Source organism: Homo sapiens, chromosome 15 (genome assembly GCF_000001405.40).
Source record: "Homo sapiens chromosome 15, GRCh38.p14 Primary Assembly".
NCBI lineage: Eukaryota > Metazoa > Chordata > Mammalia > Primates > Hominidae > Homo > Homo sapiens.
Window position 1 is genome coordinate 84,862,629 of NC_000015.10, and position 11,648 is coordinate 84,874,276.

At 49.8% G+C, this 11,648-nt stretch overlaps 1 protein-coding gene across 1 annotated transcript in view, besides 2 other annotated features; it reads left to right on the plus strand.

The window, feature by feature from the left end:
• Positions 1-10,851, plus strand: part of ALPK3 (alpha kinase 3) — a 56,124-nt gene extending 45,273 nt beyond the window's left edge. Inside the window, exons 10-14 of the mRNA NM_020778.5 lie at positions 7-287; positions 924-1,012; positions 1,814-2,037; positions 4,689-4,737; positions 5,483-10,851. Of these exons, the coding sequence (NP_065829.4) occupies positions 7-287; positions 924-1,012; positions 1,814-2,037; positions 4,689-4,737; positions 5,483-5,828 (989 nt within the window). The 3' untranslated portion in view covers positions 5,829-10,851. The remainder of the gene's footprint in view (positions 1-6; positions 288-923; positions 1,013-1,813; positions 2,038-4,688; positions 4,738-5,482) is intronic.
• Positions 560-1,061: an enhancer, noted in NCBI's record as "H3K4me1 hESC enhancer chr15:85406419-85406920 (GRCh37/hg19 assembly coordinates)". NCBI's record gives its function as "activates a minimal SCP1, AML or CMV promoter by ChIP-STARR-seq in naive H9 embryonic stem cells {active_cell/tissue: H9 hESC(naive)}" and the evidence as "EXISTENCE:reporter gene assay evidence [ECO:0000049][PMID:30033119]".
• Positions 1,062-1,561: an enhancer, noted in NCBI's record as "H3K4me1 hESC enhancer chr15:85406921-85407420 (GRCh37/hg19 assembly coordinates)". NCBI's record gives its function as "activates a minimal SCP1, AML or CMV promoter by ChIP-STARR-seq in naive H9 embryonic stem cells {active_cell/tissue: H9 hESC(naive)}" and the evidence as "EXISTENCE:reporter gene assay evidence [ECO:0000049][PMID:30033119]".

Genomic DNA, 11,648 nt, shown 5'->3' on the forward strand with positions numbered 1-11,648 from the left:
CTTCAGTTGGAGAAGAGATTGAGATGACCCCTATGGTGTTTGCTAAGGGTCTGGCTGACTCTGGCTGCTGGGGGGACAAGCTCTTTGGGCGACTGGTAAGCGAGGAGCTCCGAGGGGGTGGATATGGGTGTGGCCTTCGGAAGGCCTCCCAGGCCAAGGTCATCTACGGGCTGGAACCCATCTTCGAGTCGGGCCGCACGTGCATCATCAAGGTGTCCAGCCTGCTTGTGTTTGGGCCCAGCAGTGAGACTTCTCTTGTGGGCAGAAACTACGACGTCACCATCCAGGTACTATGTCCCATCTTCACACCCCATTCTTTTATTCTCTCACCCCCTCCCCTTTCCCAGCCCAGGTCCTGTTAGGATGCCCAGTATCGAGGCAGAAGGCATCTCAGTCTCAACCTTATGAGGCTCCTAGGAGGACCTTGTGGAAAGCCTGAGATGCAGCCCAGAATTCAGATGCTTGGCCTCAGAGAGCTTGAGAGCTTCAAAACGACTTGGGCCATAGTTTTCAAACTCTATGTTTGCAGCAGAAACCTTCCCCCTGCCCCATACATAATCTCTCATGGAAGCCTTGTTTATATGTGAGATAAAAGGGGGGTGCTGTGGGTGGGGTGGGCAGTCTTCCTGGCTCTACACAGAGTGGTCTCTGGGACACTGTCACATACCATAAGGACTCCCAAAAATAGTTCAGAAATCACTTCGAAAACCTCAGTTTGAAAAGAAGTCCAAAGCCGCTTGTTATACAAAAGAGGAAAATGAGATGCAGAGTGGGGAGCAGGGAGGAGTAAGCCCTTCCTCCCCCAGGGCTGGAATCCTCCTCTCAGTCCCCTAACAGAATAGGTAGCCCACTCACTTAGGGGTAGACACAGTGGAGGACTGAGGAATTTCTTTGCTCACCACATTTGGTTCCCTCATCCACAGGGGTGCAAGATCCAGAACATGAGTCGGGAGTACTGCAAAATCTTCGCAGCAGAAGCCCGGGCCGCGCCTGGCTTTGGGGAGGTGCCTGAGTAAGTACGCAGCGAGGAGGACGTGCAGTGTGCAGCACTGTTGCCTTGGGCTTCTGCAAAGACAGTGATTTCACAGCCTCCCAGGGGCATCCTGCGTTATGCCCATGTGCAAATAGGCTCACAGCCCCATGCTCAGCTCAGTGGCCTCACAAAATGTAGAAATAGAGACCTCATTTACTCTCCACTTGAGAAAAGCCTCTGCTCTGGACTTGAGTCCCGCCCACCCCGGTTCCTCATTCTTTAGTGCAGATGTTGCTGATTGCAGAGTTTGGACACAGCAATTTCTGGGACTCCATGAAGGTGATGGGGTGGGTTAAGCTAGGCAGACTGATCAGGACACTTCCGTGGTATGCAGGCAGGGTCAGTGTGGATTTTTGTAGGAGTCAGCTATAAATGGCAATTGTTTGCATTTTGAGACTTGAACTCTGACCTTTGCATACCTGGGGTCCCACTGGCAGAGAGCCACAATCTGGTTGAATCCTCTCTAAAGGTGCTCCTTCTGTTTGACACATACATGCCTCAATCCCTCACCCAAGCCACACAGTCTGCCTATGCCCATAGCAGGGTTTGGTTCTAATCCCACTGACCAAGAGAATGGACAGGACTCTGAAGCCAAAAATATCCATTTCCTTTCCCAAACTCAGGGTGGAGCTGCTTTCCTTTGCTGTCCTTTGGGCTCGGAGCTGAGAATTACATTCTTGGAAGGGCCCTTCTTTTAGGTCCAAGAATACAGAATTGGGTGGGAGGGAGGAGCTCTCTGGGCCATACTTCCTGCTTACTGCAGGGTGAAACTATGTTTAGGATCATCCCACTGTATCTGATCTACCGGCCTGCAAACAATATCCCATATGCTACCCTGGAGGAAGACCTGGGCAAGCCCCTGGAGTCTTACTGTTCTCGGGAATGGGGCTGTGCTGAGGCTCCGACAGCATCTGGCAGCTCTGAGGCCATGCAGAAATGCCAGACCTTCCAACACTGGCTGTATCAGTGGACAAATGGCAGCTTCCTTGTCACAGACTTGGCAGGTACGAGGGTGTGAGGGTGCACGGGTACGCATGTGCATGGATGTGAAAGCATGCAGAGGAGGCAAAGCCATAGTGCTTGGCTGATCGTTTACAAAGCACCTTTGTCTTTATTCTTTTTTGCTTTTCACAATAATCTTGTAAAGTAGATTGGACACGGAACATTTTGCTCGCAACCCTAATACATACCTCATGTAGCCCAGTCTATCACTGCAGCTGCATTTAAAGGAGCACAGTCCAGGCTCAATTAAAAGTAAAAAGGAATTTATTTCAAAGACCATTACATGGGGTCTAATTCAAAACCCACAACCACCCTTTTCAAAAACCTCCCTTCTTCCCTTCCCTGCAGCTTTGCTCTAGACTTTCTCACTCTCCAAGCTTCCCAAACTCTCCCTTCCATTTTAGCCCAGTAGCTTTACTGTCTCTCCTCCTCCTCCATCTTTGTTAGCTTTTCGTTATGTAAAGCAACTTAGTCTAGCTTCTTTTTAGTTTTATTCCTACGCCCCCCATTACCCAGAACTCCCCAACAAAGGAAGGCCAGCAGGCATGAACCCTCCTTCCTTCTTCAACCAGCTCTCTGCAGGCCTACTGTCATTAAGCAGAACTGGACAGAGGAGAGGAACAGAGAAAATGCTCAGGGGAAGGAGAGGTTGCTGGGAATATCACACATCATTAAATCTTGTCTCTGTGGTAAATAAGTGAGAAAACTAGAGACCAGAGATATAAAACGGACTCAAATGTGTGTTTCACTGGGGTTAAATTGTACGATAATTATTATATATATAGCTCCATATACTGGGGGGAGGGCGGGCTAGGTAACATTAAGCCATTATCAGTCAACCTATTTGTTAACTTATAAACTCATGCTTCCATCCTTTTTCCATCCAACCATTACTAAATATTGAAAAAATAAAAAGTTGAATTAGGAATGTCATCGTCCTCAAGAAGCTGTGATGAGTAGACCAGTTTCTACTGTGAGACGATAACGTGGCATAGTAGAAAGGCTTTAAAGTCGGCTGGGCGCGGAGGCTCACGCCTGTAATCCCAGCACTTTGGGAGGCCGAGGCAGGTGGACCACTTGAGGCCAGGAGTTCGAAACCAGCCTGGCCAACACAGCAAAACCCCATCTCTGCTAAAAATACAAAAATTCTGTCTGTAATTCCAGCTATTTGGGAGGGCAGGGCTTGAGAATTGCTTGAACCCGGGAGGCAGAGGTTGCAGTGAGCCAAGATTGCACTACTGCACTCCAGCCTGGGCAACAGAGTGAGACTCCATCTCAAAAAAATAATAAAGAAAAAAATAAATTTGATTTAAGTCAAAGCCCCATTCTCTTCTAGCTGAGTCTGTTTTACAAAGAAGAAAACTGAAGCTCACCCTGGTTAGGTCATTCAATCTCTCTGAGCTTCAGTTTCCTTTCCCTTTCTAGGAATAATGTCTTTCCTACCTAGCACTCAGATTTTTCATGAGGATTAAGTGAGACCATATTTGTGAAAACCTGCTGCAAACTAAAATTCTGTGCAAATGAGAGAGATCATCATTTTTACACAAAATGGAATGCTATGAATGCCAAAAGAGAAATGACAAATAAATCAATATTTATCACATTAGTCCTATGTTTCAGACACTAAGTTAGAGTCCTACACATATTATGATTTTCTCAATACTCTGTAAGATGGTCATTACTATCCTCACCTTTACACTTGAAGATTAGAGATATGAAGTGACTTGTCGAGTACCCACAGCTCAGAAGTGGTAGAGCTGAAATGTAAATCCAGGTCTGTCTGACTCCAGAGGCCACATTTGTTATTGTCTATCATATGATGGTACTCAGCCCTGTTAGTGAAAGGCAGGTTCCTAGCAAAATGCTCTGGACAGATTGAAAATGGGGGAAAGAGCATCCTAAACCTAATGTGTGAATACTAAGATACCTGGGTGGCCTGAGCACAGTGAAAACGTTTTTTCTCTATCATCATTTTGCCTGGCTCTGCCCTTCCAAGGCTTAACCTGGAAGACCATCTTGGCTTCTTGCTTGCTTGCTGCCTTTGTAAGTAGTGCAGAAGCCAGTCTTCTGTAGTGTTGCATTTCTGCTGGTCTACCCCTGATTTATCCTCTCATTCCCATCCCTCTCTTTTGTCTGGACAGACTACTGATCTGTTCAGAGGATGAAGGTTTTAGCTCAAAGCTAGAGGCTGGTCCAGGTTGTGACCTGGTCTGATCCAGTAGAGGCAGGATTGCATAGCTGGAAGAGTTTTGGCTCTAGGAATCCAAAAAAACGGAACCCTTATTTTAAGTCAAATGGCCATTGCACATGGCCAGAGCTCAATTATTGAATGAGTGAGTATGACTTTGCTCAAGCCATTTAACTCTGAGCCTATCCTCCTCACTTGTAAAAATATGAATATTATTCCTAGTAATAATCCAGAGACCTGCATGCTGTGAGACAGGCTGGTGGTGATGACCCATGAGAAGATGCTTGAAGACACACCTGCACTGACACCCAGGAAGTTGATGCCAGCCTGGGCTGGTTCTAAGCCCCCATGTCTCCAGCAGGAAGAGACATGGTTCTAAGCCACCCAGTATATCTTCCTGCTGGAGATGTGGGGGCTTAGAGCCAGCCCAGACTGGCATCAACTCCCAACTTTCTCTCTTTTCAGGGGTTGACTGGAAGATGACTGATGTGCAGATTGCTACCAAACTCCGAGGGTGAGTGGTTCTTGGGGACAGAATGCCCTCTGGGCGTCTTCTCAGGGTGTAAAATGTCCTAAGCCCTTCTGGTTCTCCATCCCTGAGGTGCTGGGCCTGGGGCCAAGTGGTCCCAGACACACCCATGGCCATGTGGTAACATCCTAGGGGCTACTGGTCCCCACCCCTTATCTCTGGCCTGGTGTGGCAGCTATTACTGATGCCACACATGGGGTCCCCTGCAATCCAGAGCTCTCACATACTCCTCCCCTCTCGCTTGAGGATGGTTGCCAAGGTGCCGATGAGTAAGGGTCCTGTGATGAGAGTGCGGACCTCGAGTCTGCTCCAATTTATGTTCAGAAGCTAAGCCATTCTTATGCCATTTAAAGTCCTGCGTGATGGATTCCATGTGTCAGGGTGTAATGAGACCACAGTTTTAAAACTGAGGCCTTGGGCCAGGCATGGTGGCTCACGCCTCTAACCCTAGCACTTTGGGAGGCTGGGGAGGGAGGATTTCTTGAGCCCAGGAGTTTGAGACCAGCCTGGGCCAAGTAGAGAGACTCTGTCTCTATTTTTTTAAAAAGAAAAACTGAGGTTTTGGCTGCTGCCACCTGAGGTAGCACCAAGGGAGAGTCCCCATCACCCTCAGATAAGGTAGGATGTACCCTGAGCACGACATCCTGATGATGGCCACCCCAGAGTCCGCCCCCCAAGGAACTGTGTCTCTGGTTGGGACCCCCACTCAGCTCTTCCTGTCTGGCTGCAGATACCAGGGCCTCAAGGAAAGCTGCTTCCCTGCCCTGCTGGACCGGTTCGCCTCCTCCCACCAGTGCAATGCCTACTGTGAGCTGCTGGGGCTGACACCTCTCAAGGGCCCGGAGGCGGCCCACCCCCAAGCCAAAGCCAAAGGCTCTAAGAGTCCATCTGCTGGCAGGAAAGGCTCCCAGCTGAGTCCTCAGCCCCAGAAGAAAGGCCTCCCTAGTCCTCAGGGCACCCGGAAGAGTGCTCCAAGTTCCAAGGCCACCCCTCAGGCCTCAGAGCCAGTCACCACTCAGTTGTTGGGACAGCCTCCCACCCAAGAGGAGGGCTCCAAGGCCCAGGGCATGCGGTAGCCTCCGCAGAGGCTGGGGGCCTCCACCCAGCAGCAGACCAACCAGGAAGCAGCTTGAACTGGATGGAGACTTTCCAAATATGGAACTAACTGGAGAAGGTGCACGAAGGAGACACCACTTGGGGACCTCTCTGAGCAGGCTCTCGTGAATCAGCTCGTCATCAGATGGCTTTGGTGCATGGCACATAGCCCACTGGCCTCTTCTGGTGCCACTGTCACCCAGGGCTCCCGGGCCTCAAGCAGTCCCCACCTCCAAGTGCCTGGCAACCTAGGCCCTCCTTGAAGTTTACACTTTGCCACTGCTGGAGGCTCCCCTGAGTCCTCTGCATGAGTTCTGCACCCCAAGCCCTTGCCCCAGCCCAGTCCAGCAGCAGATGTTACAATCTGAGTGAGGACATGCAGGCCAACTTTTACCCTCCTGCATTTGCCTGGCCCTGATCTCGCCTGTCCTCAGGGATCCAGACTTCCTCTGCTGGTCTGGCCTGGTGACTCTCAGGGTATCTTCTCCTTCCAGCTACTTTCGCTCACTGATCTCAGCTTATCCTGCAACTAACCATCCTTGAGCCCAGATGGGGCTCAGGGCCCTTCCAGAGCCTGTCATGTCCTTGTGCAGTGGCCTTTGATGTGTGTTCACGCTCTTCCCCCTTCACTCACTCGCCTGCTTCCCATGCTCCCTTGTACCCCCTCGCCACATCCCTGTCTTGGGGCCCAGCTGCAGCCTGCTGCCTGCCCTTCATGGCTCTGCACATGGCCCTTTGCTTGAGGGCTCCCCACTCCCTGCCCACCAATACCCAGGTGAGGAACAGACCCTCTGGCCTCTCACCCCACTTCAGTGCTCTCTTCCCCAACTTCTCTCGGGCTCTTTGCTCATGAGGTGAGAGCTGGTGTGAGGGTTGTGTCAGCAGCTGTAGCCAGAGAGAGGTGTTGACTCTGAGAGACCTTGCACTCCATACTGAAAGGAGGTGGGGTCACAGTGAATTTCACATCCCCTCTCAACCAGGAGTGGAGGGCTAGGTCCCTTCCCCATGGGGAGTACACTTGGGTGTTCTAGGAGGGATGCAGTCTATCCATGCACTTGGGTGGAGGGGAGTCTCTGTGCCTGGGAATTAGGACCCCTGCTCCAACCATCGCTCTTGATCCTGGGGCCCCAGCTCTGGGTCCTCATGTATGGGCTCCCAAGGACCCAGCAGCCTGGATCCTTCCAGAGCATCCCTCCTGGAGGCCTGGGATGGGGTAGGTCTGCAGCTAGCCTACTCCCTTTGGAATGCAATAAAGGCAGCATTGTGTGCCCTGCTTGCCCTCATCTGGTGTGGTTGGAGGTCTGTGGAGTCAAGGTCCCCCTCTCCCAGGCAGGCTCTCTGAGGGCATTCTGTAGTCCCAGGCCCACTGGAAAAATGAATCTATATTTTGGTTCCTGGACCGAAGTTCAGTCGCAGCCTTCTGTGGCCACAGAAAGACAGCTTGTGCTGCTTGCACAACTGAGCTGCTGGTGTGTACCCCTTAGCAGGGTGTCTGGGGACTTACGCCTTTGGAATTGCTCTTCATTCAGAAGAGGAACACAAAGGAAGCCACCCAGGAAGGAAGCACAGAGCTGGGGGCTCTGGAAACGCCCTGTGTCTCTGGCTACAGCAAGACCAGCCCAGGAGCCCACCAGCACCTGCCTCTCAGCTACTTGCTGACCATTTCCTGCTTCTCAAGCTGCAGAGAAGCTTTTCATTCCCACCCCCACCCGGAACCTCCCCTTGCCTAACATTTCCCCTCTATGGTAACATCTCTGACTTCTCTACCTCCTCTGTGCTCAGGTGACTCCACATCTTCTGCCCCAGTGTGTCCCCACCTCTCCCAGCCTGTATACCCAGATTACTTTGGTGAACTGAGAGCTGGAGTACTGTTCATTCATTTATTCATTCACCCACTCATTCAGCAGACATATACTGAGTGCTACTTTATGCCAGACCCTGGGCTGGCAGCTGTTTGGAGGCAAAGATGTATGAGGCCATCTCAGGAGAGACTACTTGTTAGGATTCTTGAGTTTTGACCAACAGAAATGAACTTGGACCAACTTAAGCAAGGAAAAAGCGTTCATGGGAAGGATGCTGGGATAGCTCACAAAACCAAAAGAATAGCTGAACAATTAATTGGCCCTGGGAAGGGTGGGAGCTGGGGCAACTACGAGGCTTGCCTCCCAGGAGCTGCTGCGGTTGGCAGATCAACACCAACTTGCCATTGGTTCTAGTGGGTCCCCTTCCACTCAAGATTCAAATTCCAAGTGAAAGAACCTGGCCTGGAGCTCAGGGCTTCATAGAGTGGGAGGGGGGCAGTCTTCCAAAAGATGCGGACTCTTGCCACATGGAATGGTGGAGTACGGAAGGGTGGAAAGGGTTTGGTAGGTAAACCCTGAAGATGCTTCTAACACACGTGCTGTTCTCCCATCTCACGTATGACGACTCTCCCACAGGTAACCAAAACCACATTTCTCTCTGCTTAGGGAATTCAAGATCATATCTAACTTCGAATTCCAGGGGTAATGACACGGCTTCTATTCTCCAAAGTCCAGTGTCATTAGGGATAATCTCCCTCTTTCAGTTTTATCACAATTCCATTTTGAAATTCTACAACCTGTAGATTAACTGGTAAAATTAACCATATTCAACCAAAATTGTATAACCCAGCAAGAATGGAAGAATGGGTAAAGTCTACAGTCCATTTCTAGAACTGGTCATGAGAACTCATGTTTATGATGATGGACTTTTGATCTGGTGGAGGGACCCAAACCTTCAGTTCTGAAGCTCATTAGTGGTCCTACCTGTGTGACAGGCATTTACTATTGGACTGGCAGTCCCAGGACAAACTCCAGGAATCCCCCCATGTCCATCTCTACTCCTGCCCTCTTTTACGTAGCAGCAATCATATTTTCCCTTGATAGGGTTCATCATTCTAGATACTCCGATGACTTCTTTATAATGAGCCTGAAGTGGCCTGGTGGCTGCCTCAGCTTCCAGTTCAGTTGAATAGCTACTACGTCTTTGAGGATGTGCTCCTTGCTGGGGGACTAAACTCTCCACGCCAGCCCAGTCCCAAACCTAAACCTCGGGTATGAGAAAAGCATTGAGATCTAGCAATAGCAGGGCCATGTCCACACTGCGTCCTATCCCTGAAGGAGAAACAGCGCCAGGTATGGTTGCCGGCTCCAAGCGCATGCTGCCTCCTGCAGGCCTGACCCAGCCTCTCGGGGTGTTGTTTCTGGTGCCATAGTTGAATTTTCAACAAACCATTTCACCACCCTCTCAAGACAGCTGCTGCTGGTTTGTGGGTTCCTGACAAGATGAGTGAATGCCTGCCCATCAACCCGTTACTATTCTTTTAGCTGTAAAGTGAATTCTCTGGTTGGGTGCAGTATGTGAGGAGGTCACATGATGTTTATGGCATTTGAGAATTCCATGGATATTGATGGCAGGAGAGGCATGATGGGTTAGAAAAGCAAATCCAAATCCAGAACAAGGGCCCAAAAGGGCCAAGACAAATTACTGCCCCTCTCAGAGCCACAGGTGTAGACAGGTGAAAACACTGGACAGTGAGTGAGCTACCCACACACGACCCACTGGTGCCTTCAGAGCCTTAGCCTGGAGCGACAGTGTACCGTTGATAATGGAACGCACTGGCCATGCCAGACTTTATGGCTAGGCGGTCAGATAACACTACGAGGGGCAGCATGGCCACCAAGTGTGCCAGGGCCAAGTGTTCAGGCTCTCCCAGAGCCCAGTGGTGAGCCAGAAGGGCATTTTGTACAAGGATAATGGTTACTTTTTGGCCAGAGCATCACTTGGCTCCAAATCCTGGGTTCCCGTATCATATTTTCTTGTCAGGACTTACCGCAAGCTATGTATGGCTCCGCGGTATGCCACCCATGGAAAGACACCTCATGCACCATTGACCTGCCAGGTCACGTGGCCTGATGGCAGCGTCGGCTGCACAAAAGACTTTCCCAGCTGCAATGCCTTCGCCTGCTCTAGGCCCACCCCAAAGCTGGCAGTCTTCTAGGTCAGTTGGTAAATGGGTTAGAACAAGATGCCCCAAAGTGGCATAAATTGCATGGAATTAGGCCTTAGTGGCGAGGGATTCGACATACAGTCATTTGTCCTACATTGTGAAGGAAACATTCTGACCTCAAACAGATCCCTCAACCCCAGAACTTTATAGAAGGGGCAGACCTTGGCATTTTCACATGATTTATCTCCCACTCTGATTCACATATGTTTGACCAAGGCACTGGGCAGCTGCCAATTTCCCGTCCCTTCTGTAGTCCCAGATGAATGGATACAGACCTCTTTGGGGAAGGCTGCAAGGAAGGTTCACAACATGCATCTAAGTGTTAAAATAAGTTTTTCCTTCAAAAATACATTTGACTTCCTCTCCATTTAAGGTCTGGAAATCAAGTGGGAGATCTTGACTTTACCTTGGCACTTGAGACAGAACTGTTGGCCCAGAAGTCTTTAGTTAAGGTCATTACTAGGCCATATCTTAGGGGCGTCTGGCCTTTTTCATTCCTGGGACCCACAGCTCGAGGTCTGGTTTCCATGCCCTATCCCTTACGATGAGCGCCCTATTTTGTTCCTTCTGTCTATCTCTGTTGCTGAGATCAGGGAGCCCACGTTCACAGCAGCTCTTTCAAGCAGCCTCCCAGGCCTAGAGAGGAAAATCAGCAGAGCCTCGTGAATGTATTTCTCGTGGCAAGAAGGGAGCTCATCTTCTGGGTCCTGCCAGAGGGCAGTGAGGGGGTTGATGGGCTGGGTGCATGCCAGGGACCCAATCAAGCATTTTTATCTTCTGAAATCTTTGAATTCCTGCCTTTCTTGGATGTTTGGTCTTTTGATATAATTTAGCATGGGCCAACATTTGGTCCAGATTTGTATTAGCCAAGCCCTCCTAAAATAGTAATAACAGTATCTGGCGATTTGAGCTTTTACGTAGAATGTAGAATCTCTGGTGAGTGAACATATCAATAAAGACAACCTGAACCAAAATTATATCTTGGTCATACAGCCTTTAAAAGGTCCACCACAGACTGCGCAACATAGGGAGACTCCATCTCTACAAAATTAAAAAAAAAAAAATTAACCAGGCGTGGGGGTTCATGCCTGTGGTCTCAGCTATTTAGGGGGCTGAGGTGGGAGGACTGTTTGGGCCAGGAGACGGAGGCTGCAGTGAGCTGAGATCACGCCACTGCACTCCCGCCTGGGCAACACAGTGAGACCCTGTCTCAAAAAACAAAAAAAGTCCACCAATGTACCCTATATTTTTTGACAATATATTTGCCAGTTCATGCAGTTTCTTCAGAATATCACTCTTCTCTTTCCTGATCTGATTAAGACTCTCATCCCCTGGCTTATGCTAAGTGTGGGTTCTGGTTAGTGGTATAACATGTGGTGTGGGGCAGGAGGGAAACTGTTTGCTTTCTTTTATTATTATCATTATACTTTAAGTTCTGGGATACATGTGCACAACGTGCAGGTTTGTTACATAGGTATACATGTGCCATGGTGGTTTGCTGCACCCACCAACCCGTCATCTACATTAGATATTTCTCCTAATGCTCTCCCTCCCCCAGCCCCCCACCCCCTGACGGGCCCCGGTGTGTGATGTTCCCCTCCCTGTGTCCATGTGTTCTCATTGCTCAACTCTCTCTTATGAGTGAGAACACGCGGTGTTTGGTTTTCTGTCCTTGTGATATTTTGCTGAGAATGATGGGGAAAGTGTTTGCTTTCTTCTGCAAGAGAGAGGTACACCTTTCCTGGTAGTGGAGGTAGGAAGGAAATATTTC